Raw genomic sequence first — 20,157 nt, 5'->3', positions numbered from 1 at the left:
TTGTGAATCTGCCTGATGAAGTGTGATTCATGATGGGACTCATTCATTCAGTAATTCATTCAGCAGACATTTGAATGCTTGCTTTGTCAGGAGGAAAAGCCAGAAACAATGGTGAGCTTCTGAGGATGAGCACTAAGTAGGTGATGGGGACATTAAGAAGCTCTGATGGAGAGAGAGGGGTGGGGAATGTGATGAGTTCATTGTAAGACTGGGGAGTTTGAGTTCAGTTTATTCATCAAGGGTAGCTGTATAGCAGATGGCAGGATACAGGTCTGGGAGCTCAGTGAAACAGCCAGGGCTAGTGATAGCCGCCAGTATATTTGTGGACAGGGAAGCCGGAGGTGGAATGGAGAAGTTAGACAAGGAAAGGGGAAGACAGATGAAATAAAGCTGTTTATTTCTGCAAATCTCTTAACACCTCTGAGCCAGGGCCAAGGGCACCAGGGTAGCAGAGGCTGTATCTGTTCCTGAGTGTTGAAGCGCCTCAGAGTTCAGGCAGAAACCCTTCCTCCCAGCCCCTGTCTCCCAAACCCCATGCATGCATGGCCTGGGTCTGGTCTTAGTTGTCCTGAAAGGCCTGGTAGATGAAGAGATGCTGTGACTGGCTTAGAAAACATGTAGGAACCCCTGAATGAGCATCTGGGAGAAAATATTTAAAAGGTTTACCTGAAGCCTAGGCAACATAGCAAGACCCCATCTCTACAAAGTAAAACATAGAAAAAATAGCTGGGTGTGGACATGTATCTATTATCCTAGCTACCAGTAGGCTGAAGCAGGAGGATCGCTTGAGCCCAGGAGTTCAAGGCTGCAGTGTGCAAAGATTGTGCCTGTGAATAGCCACTGCACTCCAGCCTGCGCAACATAGTAAGGCTGTCTCTATTTTTAAAAATGAGTTGATGGCATTCAGGTTAAAGAGAGCAGAGTTCGCGGTTACAGTGAGCTGTGATTGCACCATTGCACTCCAGCCTAAGAAAGAGAGCAAGATTCTGTCTCTAAAAAAAATAAAAATAAAAATAAAAGATTTACTTGAACAAAGACCAGCTAAGTAAGGCTGGACAGGGAAAGGGAAAGTAGGTGGGCTTGGCATTGGGGGCAGAAATGTTCCACTGCGGGTTGAGTGATGCGAGGGCCCCAGGAGGGGTAGATTTCTGAGTGGGGTTTGCCCCTAGTGAGCAGGTCTCAGACTGTCCCTGAAGGGGCCAGCAGGAATTTTTGCTCAAAACTTGGACAGAGAAAGGGAAGGGGTTATCCCCAGAGCAGTGTACCACCAGGATGTATTTCCTACCTTCATATGTCCTCAGGCCAACCTGGAATCCAGGCCCAGCTCAACCACTTAGAGCTTAGTGATCTTTGGGAAATCTCTTCTCTAAACCTCAATTTCCTCATCGACAGACTGAGACTATAATAGTATCTCCCTTGGGTGTTGTGAGGATTAGAAATACTGTATGTAAAGCTCCTAGTATATAGTAGGTGCTTAATACACAGTAGCCATAATTTTTATTCCTGCTACCACACTGGACTAGGCCAGCCTAAGACATTGCTCACTTCTACTCTCTTTGAGGGATTTGTTGCCAGTTGGAACAAGACACTGAAATCTAAGACTTTGCCCATCATCTTTTCACATACATTTGTCAAAGGTGGCCTGGCAGGCAGATATGTAAAAACTGGTTCCCAGTTTTCACTGTGCATAGTTCTTTTTTTTTGCTGGTCATTTCAGCACATGAAGAAAAGCATGTCACAAACCTCTTGGCTGGTGGTGAGATCTAGAAGACTGATTGAGAAAGCATCGGAGGAGCAAGGGTTTAAGTCGTGAACTGCTGAATTTAAAAAAAAAAAAAAGGCCGGGCACGGTGGCTCATGCCTGTAATCCCAGCACTTTGGGAGGCCAAGCAGGAGGATCACTTGAGCCCAAGAGTTCGAGACCAGCCTGGGCAACATGGTGAAACCCCATCTCTACAAAAAATACAAAAATCAGCAGGGTATGGTGGTTCACACCTGTAATCTCAGCTACTTGAGAGACTGAGGCAGGAGGATCGCTTGAACCCAGGAGTTTGACACCAGCCTGGGCAACACAGGGAGACCCCTTCTCTATTACCAAAATTAAAAAAAAAAAGCATCCCCTCCTCCGTCCCTCCAGCTTACCAACAGCCTGCTGCTCTTACTCGTCACTCTTGTGTCGTGTCTTATAACTGTTCAAAGTGCTTTTGCCTATATGATTTCATTTGCTCCCCACCCTGGCCTGTGAGGTAAGTAGGGCAGATATTGGCTGCCATCTCAGAGGGGCTAAGACAGTGACAGAGCTGGGACTAGAACCCACGCCTCCTTGTGATGGACAGAAACGAACCGTGCCCTGTTGACTTGCACCTTTGATGAGTGGGTTAAAAGGAATCTGTGAGGAAATGATGCACAGGTTTTGGGGACAGCTGTTTTGCAAGGAGACAGTGACAACAATACCCTATTGCTGTAGCGTGCCCAACAGAGACAGGTGGCTATGCTCCTGTTGTGCTAATGAGCAAACTGCAGGCGCAGGGTCAGCGGAGGAGGACTTTCTGGGGTTTGGGTGACACAGAGAGGCGGTTTTACAGAAGACTTTGCCTGGGGCCACCCAGCTTGGGAGTGGCAGAGCCCCCAGAATTGAGACTTTGACTCAGGACTCTAACTCCAACTTCTTGGGTTTGAAGTCAGCTCATTTCTCCCCTTGCCCTTTCTCACAGGGGTGTTGAGAGGAACAAGAGTGGAAAGGACAAATCAGTGTGTAACGGCATTAAAGGAAATAGTGCCTAGCATTCTCCTCTTCCAAATCTAATTGGCCTCCACGTGAGGGCCGCAGAGAGCAAATACTTTGGCTAAGCTGATCTGTTTGCGTGCTCTACTTCTTAGCTGTGTGAAGATATCAGATCTTGCTTGACAGGTTGTGAGAATGAAATAAGCAGCATATGTGAAAGTGTTTTGCAAACTATGAAGCAGTACTATCATTGAGAACTTTAAGAGTCTTTGCTTCCGGGAATCCAGCAAACCCAGCTCACTCTAGGACCCTGAAAGAACTCGCCTCTGGTGGGAGTAGAGAAGGTGGTGCTTTTTTGGTTTCTCCGGCCTTCAGGCAGACAGAACTGGGGAGGAAAATGGAGGAAGATGAGCTTGCTCACCACCTCCGTCTTCTTATCCCCCAGCTGAGGGGGCAGTGGCGGGGGAGCTGGCATAACCTTTGCTTTGGTGAGTCAGCTAAGAAGGAATTTCTAGAGCTCCACTGATGTAGACATGGTTGTTTTAGTTTGGATTTCTAAAGCTGCTCCTCTTTGAAGCAGCTTTAAGACACAGCTAAAAGCACAAGCAATTGGGAAGCACATGGAAAATGACAGCAGCATAACATCTTACTAGTGTGAACTTGAAGAAATCAAGTTTCGCAGGGTCATTGTATTAATAGTGTGGGAAAGTGCCTGGCACATACCAGGGGCCCAATATCTGTCCATTTCCTTTCCCTTCTCAGTGGACAGACTGCAGTCACTAAGCTAACAGAAAGCACTTACTCTTCAGTTGCCTGAGTTTACAGATAATAGGTGCCATTATTCATTTAATCCTCACAGCCCCAGGAGACAGCTTATCTACATACACCGAAGAAAAGGCAGCTCAGAGTCTTATTGCCCAAGGTCACGTCACACAGCCTGCAATTTTTGATTTTCTTATTTTTTAGTTTTGGGGGTGCATAGGTGTATATATTTATGGGGTACCTGAGATGTTTTGATATAGGCATGCAATGCATAACAATCACATCATGAAAAATGGGGTATCTATCCCCTTAAACATTTCTCCTTTGTTACAAATTATACACTTTTATTTTTAAATGTACGATTAAATTATTATTGACTATAGTCGCCCTGTTGTGCTGTCAAATAGTGGGTCTTATTCATTATATTTTTTTGTATCCATTAACCATCCCCATCCCCACCCCAGTACCCTTCCCAGTCTCTGGTAAATCTTCTACTCTATCTATCTCCATGAGTCCAATTGTTTTGTTAGTTCCCACAAATAAGCGAGAACATGCGAAGTTTGTCTTTCTGTCAGCCTGCAATTTTTAAAGCCAGAATTCAAACCCACCTTGTCTGGTTTGCCTGTTAGATATCAGGATGTGTGAAGCTGTTTAACTGAGCTGGGCCTCCTGGAAGGCCCAATCTTCAACGGACTTGGACCAAGAGGTAACTCCAACCTGGCCCATTTGGGAATAAACTCAGGGTGGAGTTTCAAAAACAGGAAATAGGCCATTGCTAGAGGCAGGCTGGCAGCCACTGGAAGAGAGCGGAAAATGTTGCTTTCCAAATCCTTGGGGGATTTAATCTGTGCTCTCCCAGTTTCAGGAGCTTATGTTGTGAGGGTGAGATGACTCCTCATTAAGCAGTATACAAATAGATTATTGGTAGTCTTCTGTCATCTCCCACGAAACACAACCTCCCCCTCATCACCTGACAGCCCTCCACTAACCACCCTATAAACAAGAGGGAACTGAGTCTCCTTTTCAAACACCTCTCCTAAGCTAGACTGCAGAAGCTGGGAGGGCTGAGTCATCTTCCTCTTGAAAGAAAACCCGTGTAACAAAGCCACAGAAGTATGCTTTCTGTGCATATCATTTGTTTCAACACATGGCTGCTTTTATAGGATGCCAACGCAAGAGCTGAGGACACTGTCTTCTCTGTTCCCCAGAAAGTAGGTACCCTGCAGTGTCATCTGTACTGTCCCCCTCCTCCACACCCATTATCTGCGTGACTGCAGGCACCTCACTAAGCAGCCAAACGACCACCACAGCACATTTACCCAGGCCATTAGTTTGGATTGTGCCAAGTATCTCACAGCATAGGCAAGAAGGGCCAATTGAAGAGTTAGGATGGCTGGGTGCGGTGACTCACGCCTGTAATCCCAGCACTTTCGAGGCCGAGGTGGGTGGCTCACGAGGTCAGGAGTTCGAGACCAGCCTGACCAACATGGTAAAACCCCGTCTCTACTAAAAATACAAAAATTAGCTGGGTGTGGTGACGGGCGCCTGTAATCCCAGCTACTTGTGAGGCTGAGGCAGGATAATTGCTTGAACCAGGGAGGTGGAAGTTGTAGTAAGCTGAGATCACGCCATTGCATTCCAGCAACAGAATGACACTCGTCTCAAAAAAAAAAAAAAAAAAAAAAAAAAGGCTATGGCCTGAGGCTACTCTTCACCCTAAGGGATATATGGTAAACGCATGAGAGTAAAGGCTCTGGCCTCAGATACATACACAAGGATGACTTTTAAGAGTGCCTCCTCTATCTCTCATTTCTTCTGGCCAAGCTAGGACGAGGTAGATAGGACTGGGAAGTAGACTACATCCCTTTGCGGTCCATTCACCTTACAGCTATAGTTTCTGAGAATAGTGCTGTGTACCAGGGAAAGCTCTGGTTTTTATGATCTCCCCTTGTAGAGTGCTGGATTGCTTCATGGTGCAGGGTGCTACTTATATGGCTTCATATCATATGCCCAGTAGGAAGGAGAATGCCTGGGCAGATCTGATGCTGGACCAATTCACTGCCCACATCAAAGGGCATCTCCCCATAAGCCCAGAGACCCACAGCTAAATGTCCCCACTCCCCCGGCAAAAAAAAAGCAGCTGATAGCCATATTTCTGTACAGGCTCATATAATAGAGGGGACTTTTATTATTTTTTCAGAGAATTCGGATAGCCATAGATTATACAGAGCCATTTCTCAGCACTCTTTTCCTTCCACTTAAGAAGCTGGAATACAACATGATGAGGATGATGCCAAAACAAGACTGCTGGTTCATATCATCTAGGGTACAAATACACACTTAATCACTTGACACTTTACTGAATGCAAAGCAAGATTTAGCATCTTTGCCCTCGTTGTACAGAGCTGAAGCAGGAGACCAGGGAGGGGAGGACTGCATGGTTTTCCTTGGCAGGGGAGTTGTGCACCCTGCAGTCCTGTGGTGTTGTGGGAAGATCAGCCCATGTTCTGTCGGTTCCCATAGCCCCTAGGATGGGTGTCCTTCCAGTCATCCCACTCCCGGGCTCTGTGGAGTGTTTGTTCATCATCCTCTTCCTCCTTTTCTTCTTGTTCTTCCTGTTGCTGAGCTGCTTTTCTGAATTCCTCTAAAGTGGAAAAATTAGAAAGGGAGGTGAGAAATTGAGGGAATGTTAATAAGTAACGTCAGGGGCCTCAGTTCCACTCTGAGCACAACCACATGCAATGAGAACAGGAATACAGCCAGCTGCCTACCCTGAGCCCGGCGGAAGCGGGGAGAGAACTTGCATTACCTAATATATCGCATGTTAAAAAATAGTACGAAAGGATGCTCTAAGTGGTTTCCACAAGAAGGCAAAAATCATAAAAGGTGCCCCTCAGAATGAATTCTATTTTGGAAGAGAATTCTTGCAAAAATGGCCAACACCCACCCCCCCCAAGCCCCTAAACAAAAACATTACCACCACCATCAAACAACCCCTGCAATCCAAAAACAGGAAAGAAAAAATATTTATGAATTTGTGATTTGTGAGTTGCCAGGGGGGTGGGATTGCAGTTGACGTTTCCTCCTCCATCCATTTCCTTTACTATAGTCATACATAAGTTTTTGTGCATAAAATTGAAAATCACAGGGCAGTTGGACCTACCAGAAAAGAATGCCTACGTATTATTTTGCAGTGCTTGAAATAGGCTCTGAGGTCCAAATGGCATTTATCATGCAGTGTACACCCAAAAGAAATTAAACCAACTGCTGCATCTCTTTTGCATTTTTTTTCCTTTGTGAGGTAAAGCAGCATTTTCCTGGCTACTCTGACTTTGCTCATGAGAAATAGTCTCATTACTATGAATGAAATGTGTGGGGATCTGATCTCTTCTAACAGCTCAGGAGTCTTTTTTTCTGAGATAGGGTTTCTCTCTGTTGCCTAGGCTGGAGTACAGTGGTGTGATCATGGCTAACTGTAGCCTCGAACTCCTGGGCTCAAGTCATCCTCCTGCCTCAGCCTCCCGAGTAGCTGGAACCACAGGCATGAACCACCACACTTGGCTAATTTTTACATTTTTTGTGGAGACAAGGTCTTCCCCTATGTTGCCCAGGCTGGTCTCGGCCCTCCCAAAGTGCTGGGGTTACAGGCGTGAGCCACCTTGCCTCGTTCTTTTCTTTTAAACCCTTTACTATAAAATAAAACATGGTGGAAACCACACAAGTACATATAAAACAAATTTTTGTAAGGAGGCCTTATAGCCTCCACTCAGGTCAAGAAACAGATCTCCTGTATCCACCCTAAAAGCCTCTCTGTGTACATTATACAAATCAACTCTCCTCCCCTGCAAAAGTAACCTCTATACTGCTTTTTATAGTAATAACTTCCTAGAGTTCATCACAGCTTTATCACCCAAGTGCATACCACTAGACACTGTAATTGTCCATTTGTACATTCATTTTTTTACTCAATGTATTTTTTAGTACAGAGTTGTGCAACTATCACCACAATCCAATTTAAAAAATTCTATAACCCCAAAAGATCCCTTGTGCCCATTTACAGTTAATTCCCATTCCTTCCCTCCCTGCCCCCAGCTCCTAGAACCATGAATCAACTTTCTGTCTCCATAGATGTGCCTATTCTGGACATTTCATACACATGAAATCAAAATCATGTAATCTGTGATCTTTTGCGGCTGACTTCTTTCACTTAGCATCATCACCTTTTTTTGTTGTTGTTGTTGAGACAGTCTTGCTCTGTCTCCCAGGCTGGAGAGCAGTGGTGCGATCTTGGCTCACTGCAACCTCCACCTCCCGGGTTCAAGTAATTCTCCTGCCTCAGTCTCCCGAGTAGCTGGGATTAAAGGTGCCTGCCACCACACTCAGCTAATTTTTGTATTTTTAGTAGACATGGGGTTTCACCACATTGGCCACGCTGGTCTCGAACTCCTGACCTCAAGTGATCTGCCTGCCTCGGCCTCCCAAAGTGCTGGGATTACAGGTGTGAGCCACTGCGCCTGGCCTAGCATCGTATTTTTGAGGTTAGCCTTGCCTATTTAAAAATGTTTTGATATCTTTTTAAATCTATGGGTTCCCCCTCCACCCCTTTCTTTCAAGTTATCTGTTGAAGAAGTTGGGGCATATGACCTGTAGAGTTTGTTTCCCAAAGACTGGATTTTGCTGATTGCATACTCATGATGCAGTCTAACATGTCCTCCTTTATTTTCTGCAGATTGGCAGCTGAATACAGAGGCTTGATTTGACTCAAGTTTGATCCCTTCAGCATGAATTATAATTATAGGTGGTGCTGCATTCCTTCATCAGGAGGCATGTAAATATCTCTGTCTCGTTGTAATGTTAGGAGCTGTTGATGCTCAATGCCGAGACCCATTCATTTATTGGGGGGTTTCAAAAAGGTGATACCCTTAATTTTAACTTTTTAAAATTAACTGGAATACTTTTACAAAGAGAGCCTTCCCCTCATCAACTACTATTTGGTTACCTAGTAGAAAAGATAAAATACTTGACTCTTTCCCTTTATTTACCATTTCTCAAGATATTGGGTTCCCTTATTAGCCTCTGAGGTTGAATAATTTGGTCTTGTTTTATAATATAATTATGGGCTGGGCACGATGGCTCACACCTGTAATCACAGCACTTTGAGAGGCTGAGGTGGGAGGACTGCTTGAACCCAGGAGTTCGAGATCATCCTGGGCAAGATGGCGAGACCCTGTGTCTACAAAAAAAATATTTATGACACTTATATTGGCTCAAAAAATTATAAAAAAGAAAAAAACTTTTAAAATCTGCCAGGCATGGTAGTGCATGGCTGTAGTCCTACTCACTCGAGAGGCTGAGGCAGGAGGATTGCTTGAGCCTGGCCTGGGCTCAGAGTGTGAGACCCACCTCTAAAAAAATAAAAATATATATATATAATTATGAACTTAGAGATTTAAACATATCTGGTGAGTTTCAGCCAGTTGCAACTATTATTATTATTTTTGAGACAAAGGAGTCTTGCTCTGTCACCCAGGCTGGAGTGCAGTGGTGTGATCTTGGCTCACTGCAACCTCCGCCTCCTGGGCTCAAGCGATTCTCCTGTCTCATCCTCCCGAGTGGCTGGCATTACAGGCATGTGCCACCACGCCTGGCTACTTTTTGCATTTTTAGTAGAGATGGGGTTTTATCACATTGGCCAGGCTGGTCTTGAACTTCTGACCTCAAGTGATCCACCCACCTAAGCCTCCCAAAGTGCTGGAATTACAGGCGTGAGCCACCGCGCCCGGCCCACAATTATTGTTTTAAAAAACTATTTAAATCAACTTCTTAATTTTAGAAGTTTTCAATTTACAGAAAAATTGAGAAAATAGTACTGAGTTCCTACATAACCACACCCAGTTTCTTATCATCAACCTCTTACATTAATACAGTTTCTGTGATACAACTAATGAACCAATACTAATATATTATTAACAACTAAAGTGCATACATTACTCAAATGTCCTTAGGTTTTACCTAATGTCCCTTTTCCGTTCCAGGATCCTATCCAGGTCACCACAGTACATTTTGTTGTCTGTTTCTTTAGTCTCCTCTAGGATGTAACTCTTTCTCAGACTTTCCTTCATTCTGATGACCTGGACAGTTTTGAAGAGTACTTGTCAGGTATTTTGTAGAATGTCCCTCAGTTTGGGTTGCCTATTTTTTACAGAATTAGACTAGGGTTATGGGTTTTGGAGGACAATACTATATATGCTATCAACCTGACTTCACACTGATAATAACCTCGATGACCTGACCAAAGTGGTATTTGTAGGTTTCCAACTAAAGTTACTTCTCCTGTCTCCTTCCACATTGCAGTCTCTGGAAGCAAGTCACTAAGCACAGCCCACACTTTCGGGGTACACAGTCATGCTACACCTCCTTGAAGCAGGAGTATCTACATAAAATTAATTGAAATTTTTCTGTAGGGGAGATTTATCTCTTCTCCCTCATTTATTTACTTATTCAACCACTTATTTCTATCACAATGGACTTGTGTGTATTCATTTTATTCCTAGTGTGATAATCCAATACTGTTAAATTTACTTTCCTGCCCAAGTTCTCCCAGTTTTGGGCTGTGAGGGTGCAGCTGGCTCTTGTGTTCCTTTAACACCCCAACAGTTTTTTGAGCTCTTGTTTTCTAGTACAGAGAGCCCTGAGTTAAGATTTTTCAAGTTTATGATGGTGTGAAAGTGACATGCATACAGTAAAAGCCATACCTCATATTTTGAGATATTCAATATTTTAGTATAAAATAGGCTTTGTGTTAGATGATTTTGCCCAACTGTGGACTAACGTAAGTGTTCTGAGCAGGTCGAAGGTAGGTTAGGCTAAGCTGTGATGTTGGGTAGGTTGGGTATAGCAAATGCATTATCAACTTAACAATATTTTCAACTTAGAATGGCTTTACCAGGATATAACCCCATCATACGTTGACTATCATCTGACTACGAGATGCTCCAGGTTCATCTTGTATATTCCCTGCCTCAGCCCTAGAATCAGCTATTTCTCCAAGGAGCCCTGGTTCATTTATTAGAGGATGGTATTAGAAACCAAGATTTGGGTGTTGGATGGACTTGTTGCTACTGTCAATTATCCTCTGTGAAACCGAATTGGCCAGTGGAAACATCTTTAAATTGGCTCGATATGACCCCAGTAGTCTTTGAAAGCTCCTTCCCTATCTTTTATGACAAGATGTTCCAAGCTTATTTGTATATTTCCTGCCCCAGAATTGTAGTCAGTTATTTCTCTAAGACACCCTGATTTCTTAAAAGAAAGAATATTGGGAAGAATATTTCTGTATCACAATTGGAGTTACTAGGTATACTCATTGCTACTGGGCTGGTCCTTGTTTCTAAGCCTTTTCAGTGAATAGAGCAAAAGCAGGGGTGGGTGTGTGTGTGTGTTTAGTTTTAAATAAAATTTCTCATGAGTTCATATGGAGTACTACAGGGTTTAAAAAAAATCTAAATTCTTTGGAATTACATCTGTATTCTTTCACATTAAAAGTCCTAGTTCTCAAAGACAGAGGATGATAGAATTAGATTATCTAATAACTGCTCATTTATATTATCTCACATTATACATAGTCTTGGAATAATAACACTAACTTTGACACTCCACCAATATAATTACTGAGAACTGTTAAAATTTTGCATGATTTCCCCATTTCTCCATTTTTAAAAAGTTATCTACATTATCTGGGCACATAGGCATTACATACTCTATCTCCCTTTTAATCCTCATTTCATCTTAATTCTACAAGTAACTGTACATTTAACGCTTGCTACCTGTCCTTATTTCAATGTCTCTCAACACTTTGGCTGTCTGAAGCTCATTCTCTAGCAAATTCATGGGATGGTGGAACAATATTTCTTGAATTCCTGCATGTTGATAAATATCTGTACTCTTTATACTTGAAAGTCAGTTTTACCAGGTATAATGTTCCTTGGCTCACATTTTTTTCCCTCTGAGTTTCTTAAATACCTGCTATTCCATTTTCTTCTTTCTTCTGGCATAAAGTATAGATCTCAAAAAATCTGAGGGTAACCTAAGTTGCTTTCCTTTATAAATCACTTACTATTTTTACTGAGATGTCTGTGGCTTTTTTTTCTTTAAAGTTCGGAAATTTTATTAGACTATGTCTTGTTGGTCATTCTGGGTCCTTTCCCAGGAACATGGTGTGATTTTTCCTATCAAGTGACCGTGGCGCTCGAGCCCTCCAGGACCAGGAGCTTAGGCCCCATGGAGAAGCTGGGCCTGGTGCCGGGCAGCAGTTGTGCCTCTTTGGTGCAGTGTCTCAGCCCCAGGGAACTGGAGCTTTGGCCCAGGGGGGCAGCTGGGACCCTGGTGCCTTAGCCTGCATGGCACCAGGTCCCTGGACCCCCCAGGGAAACACAGCCTTGGCTAATCTGTACACACTGCTCTCTGGGCCAAACGGCAATAGCACCCCCACCTCCCTGGATCTGGACCAGCCCTCCGGGGTCTGAGCCACTGAGGTGTCCCACCTTCCTGGGGAGCAAAGCCAACATTGCACTGCATCCCACCCCCTGGAGCCCAAGCCACAGCTATGCCCTACCATTCCTGGGGCTGTGTTGCCACTGCACCCGGCCTCATAGAGCTTCCAGGGTCCAGAGTCACCACTATACAGCATCTTCTTTCCTGGTGCCTGAATTGCCACTGTGCCCTGCTCCCTGGGGTCTGAGCGTCTGGAACACCCCTCCCTCCCCAGAGCCATGCCAGTACTATGCCCTGACCCCCAGGTTAGGAATCACAGCTACGTCCCTGCCCCTGGGCCCGAGCTACTGAGAAGTGCCTCAGAGTCATAGTCCTTGCCTTGGTGGGAGAGCAGCATCCACCTGTGCCTGAGACTGAACCTGCACCCATGTCACAGGTCCCGCAGCAGTTCAAGAAGACACTGGACCCAGGACCAAGCTCCACAGCCACCCTGAGCACCCGTGCCTTGGAACACAGCACTGCTGTGGCTGCCTGTGGGTCGCGTCACACCCAACACCAAGAGATTCCCCCCGCGCAACTTTTTTAATCCCAAGAAACTTTCCTTAATATTAACTTTTAGCATTTATTCTTTTTCCTTGCTTTGGCTTTCTTCTTCAGATAATCCTATTATCTATATGCCAGGTCTTCTTTACTATCTTTAGTATATGTCACTTTTCCTCAAACCCTGTTTATCTTTTTTCGTTTTAAAATTTTCCTTCCTTTTACCATAGTAAGGCATTTTCTGTTGTGTTCACTCATTCTTGTTTCCTTCTACTTTAGCCTATATTTCTGAAATGATTCATGTTCCCCAAGCTGTCATATTTCTGAGTTTTTCTAATCCTGCTTTATATTGTCCTTCCATGTCCTATGTTATTTTCTGAATATCTTCCAACTCTTTTTTGGATACCATGTTTCAGATTTGTTCTGTTTTTTTGAGCGTGTCTTTCTGTAGTGTTTTTCTCTTCTAATAACTTTGTGTAGGGTTTGACTTTGATAATTTTCTGTTCCCTTTTTCTCAGCTTTGTGCTGTATTTCACAATCCATAAAATCTACCCACTTAAAAGTATACATTTCAGTGTTTCTTTTTGTTTTTTTATTTTTTGAGACAAAGTCTCACTCTGTTGCCAGGCTGGAGTGCAGTGGCACGATCTCGACTCACTGCAACCTCTGCCTCCCAGGTTCAAGCCAATTCTCCTGCCTCAGCCTCCCAAGTAGCTGGGACTACAGGCACGTACCACCATGCCCGGCTAATTTTTCTTTTTTTTTTGTATTTTTAGTAGAGACGGGGTTTCACCATCTTGGCCAGGCTGGTCTCAAACTCCTGACCTTGTGATCCGCCTCCCAAAGTGCTGGGATTACAGGTGTGAGCCAACAGTTCAGTGTTTTATATTCAGAGTTGTGCAACCATCACCACAATCTGTTGTTCATTTTTACGTGAAATGTTTTCCTAAACTTGTAGAAAGAAGCATGGTTCAGAGTAGCTTTTCTAACTTCATAAGGGCTCCCTTTCTGCTGTTTTCATGTGAATTAAAGAAATATGATTACTTGCTTGATTGGAGTTCCTGGTTCTGGTCCTCTCTCCTAATTTCATCTGGACCTTTTCTTTCTTTTTCTATTCCTGTCCTGCTTAATTTCAATTCTACTCTCAGCAATTTCTCCTCAGTGTGAGTCCCTGTCCTGGAAGGGAGACCGGTGGATCAACTTCAAGAGTTCACTAAGGACTAGACTACTCTATCGCTTTCAGACCTTCTGACTATTGGACCCTCATACTCATCCCTCCCAGTTTCAACTGCAGTTCTTAAATTGGACTGCCATTCTTTCTAGGGAATACACTGTTTTGGAATTCTGTTTGTCAAGTTTTTCAGATGGCCTGTCAACTCTGGTTTTCTCCTGCACAGATGCCAATAACTGCTGGATCTTGTGGCTATGGGTAATTTGCCCTTACCTGTTTTTATTGTGAGGTTCATGGGGATACACTGCCACCTATTTTCATTATAAATATTGTCCATGGGTTTTTTCACATTCACTGAAGTGCAACATACGTGTAGAAAAGTATACTAACATTTGTATAGCTCAGTGACCTCTCACATATTGAACACATCCATGTAATCAGTACCCAGATGAAGATACAAAATATTTCTAACTCCTCAGAAGACCCTGTAGGTCCAGTTCCATTCATGATCCCCAACTAAGGGTGAACACTTACTAGCTTTCAACCAGCACACACAAGTATCACCTGTTTGTTGAAGTTTGTATGAATGGAATCATACAGTATATACTCTTTTGCGTCTGGCTTTTTTCACACGATTCAGCTATATTTGTCACTTATAGCAAACAAACTATAGTTTAACCTTATTGCTACATAGTTTTCCATTGTGTGAATATACCAAAATTTATTCTTCATTCTATTATTTATGGGCATTTGAGTGGTGTGTATTCAGTGTGGACTATTACAAATAATGCTGCTATGTTCAATCTTGTACAGGTCTTTTGTGGACATATGGTCTCACTCCTCTTAGGTATATACCGAGTAGTGAAACTGCCAGGTCATGGGAGTATACACGTGTCCAATTTTTGTGCATTACTACCAGAACCATGACCACCCCTAGTTTCCCTGCCTTTATTTCCTTTCATCTATTTACTTTGGGCTTTCTTTGTTCCCTATGCCCCCACCCCCACCCTTGTTAAGGTAAAACCTTAGGTAATTGATTTTATCTTCCTTTTTTCTAACATAAGTGTTGAAAGTTACACACATTTCCATCTCAGCATTGCTCGAGTTGTATCCCATAAATTCTGATGCTGTACTTTCACTGTAATTCTGTTCAAAGTATTCTCTTTTATTTATTTTTAAATGGGCAAACATATTTATTGTGTACAGTATGTTTTGAAGTATATATTATGGGATAGCTAAATCTAGCTAATTAAAAGATGCAGTACCTTACACATTGTTATTTTTGCAGTAAGAACACTTAACATCTACTCTGTATTTTATTTTCATTTTTTTTGAGATGGAGTTTTGCTCTGTTGCCCAGGCTGGAGTGCAATGGTGTGATCTTGACTCACTGCAACCTCTGCCTCCCAGACTCAACCGATTCTCCTGCCTCGGCCTCCCGAATAGCTGGGATTACAGGCGCCCGCCACCACGCCCGGCTAATTTTTCTATTTTTATTAGAGACGAGGTTTCACCATGTTGGCCAGGTTAGTCTTGAACTCCCAACCTCAGGTGATCCACCCGCCTCGGCCTCCCAAAGTGCTAGGATTACAGGCGTGAGCCACCGCACCCAGCCATTAACGATAGTCACCATGCTGTATAACAGATCTCTTGAACTTATTCCCAGTTAGAAGTATTTTCTAATTTTCTTTCTAATTTCTTCTTAGACCTATAGGTTATTTAGAAGTGTACTGTTTAATTTTCAAATATTTGAGAATTTTCTAGGTACATTATTGATTTCTAATTTAATTCCATTGTGGTCTGAGGACATATTCAGTGTGATTTCAATTTTTGAAAATTTATTGAGACTTATTTCATGGACCAGTATATGATCTACCTTGGTGAATGTTCCATGGGTATCTGAAAAGAAGGTGAAGGCATACCTCGTTTTATTGTGCTTCACTCTATTGTGCTTTGCAGAGACTTTTTTTTTTTTTTTTTTTTTTAACAAATTGAAGGTTTGTGGCAACCCTGCAGCGAGCAAGTCTATTGGTGCCCTTTTTCTAAGAGCATTTGCTCACTTTGTGTCACTGTGCCACATTTTGGTAATTCTCAGTTTCTCAAACTTTTTCATTATTTCATTTGTTATGGTGATCTGTGGTCTTTGGTATTACCAGTGTAATTGTTCTGGGGCACCACAAACCATGCCCACAGAAGACAGAGAACTTAATGGGTAAATGTGTTATGTTCTGACTGCTCCACTGACTGGCTGTCCCAACCCTGCTCCAGGCCTCTCTGTTCCTTGAGACACAACAATATTGAAATTGGGCCAATGAATAACCCTACAGTAGCCTGTAAGTATTCAAGTAAATAATTTGAAAATTATTAGGCACAAATGCATTTATGACTGCTATGTCTCCCTGATAAATTGCCACTTTATCAGTAGGAAATGCCCTTTTAAAATCTCTGATAATACCTTTTTGTCTTGAAATCTACTTTATCTGATATTACTATAGCTACTGCAGCTTTCTTATGCTTACTGTTAGCATGGTAGAGGTTGAGTATCCCTTATCTGAAATGCATGGGACCAGAAGTATTTCAGATTTGTTTTTTATTTTGGAATATCTGCATCATATCTGGTTGAGCATCCCAAATCTGAAAATCCAAAATGCTTCAGTGAGCATTTCCTTTAAGCATCACATTAGCCTTAAGAAGTTTCGGATTTTGGAGCATTTCAGGTTTTTCATTTTCAGATTTAGGATGCTCAACCTATATATCTTTTTTTTTTTTTTTTTTTTTGAGACAGAGTCTCACTCTGTCACCCAGGCTGGAGTGCAGTGGTGTGGTCTCGGCTCACTGCAACCTCAGCCTCCTGGGTTCAAGCGATTCTCCTGCCTCAGCCTCCTGAGTAGCTGGGATTACAGGCGTGTGCCACCACACCCGGCTAATTTTTCTATTTTTAGTATAGATGGGGTTTCACCATGTTGGTCATGCTGGTCTTGAACTCCTGACCTCATGATCCGCCTGCCTTGGCCTCCCAAAGTGTTGGGATTACAGGCGTGAGCCACCTATATATCTTTTCTTCTTTTTATTTGTAACCAATCTGTGTCTTTGTATTTAAAATGTATCTTTTATAGACAGCATGCAGCTAGACCTGATAATCGATCCCTGACTTCTAATTCGAAGGTTTATTCTATTTACATTTGAGGTGCTCTGGATTTGGCCATTCTATCAGGTGTATAGTGGTATCTCAGTGTTGTTTAATTTGCATTGCCCTAATGACATGATGTAGAGTATCTTGTCACATGCTTATCTGTCATCTGTATACTTTCTTTGGTGAGGTTATCTGTTAAGGTTTTTGGCCCACTTCTTAATCAGGCTGCTCCCTTTTTTTTTTGAGACACGGTCTTGCTCTATCACGCAGGCTGGAGTGCAGGGGCACGATAATAGCTCACTGCAGCCTCGACCTCACAGGCTCAAGCAATCCTCCCACCTCAGCCTCCTGAGTATCTGGGACTACAGGCACGAACCATCACACTTGGCTAGTTTTTTAAAACTTTTTTTTTTTTTTTTTTTTTTGTGGAGAGGGGTCTTACCATGTTGCTCAAGCTGATCTTGAACTCCTCGGCTCAAGGGATCCTCCCACTTTGGCCTCCCAAAGTATTGGGATTACCGGTGTGAGCCACCACACCTGGCCTAAAACTGCTCCTTTTCTTATTGTTGGGTTTTAAGAGTTCTTTGTATATTTTGGGTAAAATATACAAAGTCCTTCATCAGATAAGTCTTTTGCAAGTATCTTCTCCCAGGTTGTGGCTTGTTTTCTCATTCTCTTGATAAATTATTTTTTAAGTGGCTGCTCTAGGAAATACAATGTTCATCTTTAACTTCCCAGCCTACTTAAGAGTTAAAATTATGTGATGGGGGCCAGGCGCAGTGGCTCACACCTGTAATCCCAGCACTTTGGGAGGCCGAGGCGGGCGGATCACAAGGTCAGGAGATCGAGACTATCCTGGCTAACACAATGAAACCTCATCTCTACTAAAAATACAAAAAAAAAAAATTAGCCGGGTGTGATGGCGGGCGCCTGTAGTCCCAGCTACTCAGGAGGCTGGGGCAGGAGAATGGCGTGAATGGCGTGAACCCGGGAGGCGGAGCTTGCAGTGAGCCGAGATCGCGCCACTGCCCTCCAGCCTGGGCGACAGAGCAAGACTCCGTCTCAAAAAAAAAAAAAAAAAAAATTATGTGATGGGGGGCCTCAAGGATGGTGCACAACAATCCCAGCCTCTTGGTATTCATGCTTTTATGGAGTCTCCTCTCATACTCTATCAGGGTTGGTCTATATGACTAATAGAATAGGGCAGAAGTCATATTCCAACATTAGGTTATAAAAGATATTGAGCCTTTTGATTTTGGTCATTCTCAGATCATTCACTTTGGGGAGCGGAAGCTGTTGTGAGCAACCCTATGTGAGCCTCCTGTCCTCAGCTACATCGATGAGCTTGGCAGTGAATTATCTAGTCCCATCCAAGCTTCCAGAAGACTGCAGCCCCAGCTGACAGCTTGACTGCAACCTCATGAATGTTTCTGAGCTAGGACCACCCAGTTGCTTCTGAATTCCTCACCCTCAGAAACTATGATACAATAAATGCTGATTATTTTAAATTGCTAAGTTTTAGAGTAATTTGTTATACAGCAATAGACATGTATCGGTTCACATAAAACAGGAGAATCTCACAAACAAAATAGTTCCATTTACCCTGTCCTTTTTGCGATGGCTGTCACATATATTACACCTAATACATTATAAACCTCACAAGTCAATATTGTAATTTTTGCTTTGAGAAGCTACGTATAGTTTTTAAAAACTGGGTTGAGGAAGACAGTCCTTTGTATTTACCCACATAATTACCATTTCTGCTGCTCTTCACTACTTGAGTATTTACATTTCTATCTGATACCATTCCCCTCAGCCTGAGGAATTTCCTTCAGCATTTCTCTAATGCCAATTTTCTGGTGAAGAATTCTTTTAGCTCTCATTTATCTGAAAATGTCTTAATTTCATCTTCATTTTATGGATATTTTTCACTGGGTATAAAATTATACGTTGACAGGTTCCTCCCCCCACCACTTTGAAGCTGTTCCACCATCTCTGGCGCCCACAGTTTTTAATGGAAATTCAGCAATAATGTATATCCTTGTTCTCCTATGTGTAATGTGTACTTTATCTTTGGATGATTTCAAAATTTCCTCTTTCTCTCTGGTGTTCTGCAGTTTGACTATAATGTGCCTATGTGTGATTTTGTTTGTATTTAAACTGTTGGGGTTTGCTGACATTTCTGAATCTTGGGAAATCTTTAGTCATCATTTCTTCAAGTTTTTCTGTTCCCTTCTTTCTCCTCTGGTACTGGCATTCCAATTGCGCATACATGAGACCTTTGTACATAATTCCGCAGGCCACTGAGATACTGCTTACTTTTATCCAATCTTTTTTTTCAAATTGGATAATTTCTATTGATCTTCAAGTTAACCGACAGGCTCTTCTGTCAGCAACAATCTGGTATTAAGCTCATCCAGTGACTTTACATTTTCAGATATTGTATTTTTCCATTCCAGAATTTGTGTGTATAGTTTCTATTTCTCTGCTGAGATTTCTTATCTTTTCATTAATTACAAACATATTTTGCTCTCTGCCCTTGAGGATAAAAATAATAGCTGCTTTAAAGTCCCTGTCTGCTAATTCCAACATCTGAGTTATCTTGGGGTTGGTATCCATTGATTGCCTTTTCTTTTGAGTTATGAGTCACATTTTCCTGTTTGTTTTTTTTCATGTCTAATAGCTTAGGATTGAATTCTAAACGTGACAAATGATATATTGTAGAGATTCCGAATTCTGTTTCATTCCTCTAAAGAGTACTGATTTTTCATTTTAGCAGGCAATTAACTCGTCTAAAACCAAAATACCAAATTCTATCTCCCTTGCATTGGGCAACAGCTGAATTCTCCATTCAGTTATTTTAGCCTTAGTTGAGGTGCTTAAGAGTCCATTCTGTGCATGCATAGTCAGCCAGAGATTTCAGTAGGGTTTATATACAGAATCAGGGCATCTTCTCTGTGGTTCTCTCTTTTCTGGGATAACCTCCTTCATTTTTCAGTTGCTATTCACCCTGATCTCAGTTCTCTCATTCCTCAAACAGTAAGACTGCAAGTTCCTATCCAAGTTACATGCAGTTACATCATAGTAACTGCAGTCTGCCCACAGGTGAAAAGCTAATCCTTTCAAATTACCACTCTTCTCTTTTTGGTGCTATAGTAGAAACAGAACTGAACCTGGGAATTTGAAGGTCTGATTTTAAATCCTAGCCAGGCCACTTTAAGTCAGCTCCCAGTGACTACTTCCTCATTTTATTTATTTATTTGAGACAGGGTCTCACTCTGTCACCCAGGCTGGAGTGCAGTGGCGTGATCTTGGCTCACTACAACTTCTGCC

The 20,157-nt window shown here is 42.6% G+C and overlaps 1 protein-coding gene and 1 long non-coding RNA gene across 7 annotated transcripts in view; one reads left to right on the top strand and one right to left on the bottom strand.

Moving 5' to 3' along the window:
- The window catches only part of IGBP1 (immunoglobulin binding protein 1), a 32,878-nt gene continuing 18,360 nt past the window's right edge, over window positions 5,640-20,157 (bottom strand). For 5 of the 6 annotated variants that reach the window (NR_199785.1, NM_001551.3, NM_001370192.1 and 2 more), the window contains one exon: window positions 5,640-6,131. Coding sequence is in view for 4 of the 6 variants with exons in the window: in NM_001551.3 (NP_001542.1) it covers window positions 5,983-6,131 (149 nt within the window). In the remaining 2 variants the exon portion in view is untranslated. Of the gene's footprint in view, window positions 6,132-9,499; window positions 9,619-20,157 lie in introns of all 6 variants that reach the window. The other variant, NR_199784.1, reaches the window with a different exon arrangement.
- LOC107985683 (uncharacterized) lies at window positions 9,602-18,332 on the top strand. The gene is made up of 2 exons (XR_001755877.2): window positions 9,602-16,024; window positions 18,094-18,332. It is a non-coding gene; the product is annotated as an uncharacterized LOC107985683 (long non-coding RNA).

The sequence above is a fragment of the Homo sapiens genome, chromosome X (genome assembly GCF_000001405.40).
Source record: "Homo sapiens chromosome X, GRCh38.p14 Primary Assembly".
NCBI lineage: Eukaryota > Metazoa > Chordata > Mammalia > Primates > Hominidae > Homo > Homo sapiens.
The sequence above is the reverse complement of the archived record's forward strand: the minus strand, read 5'-3'. Positions and strand labels throughout refer to the sequence as shown.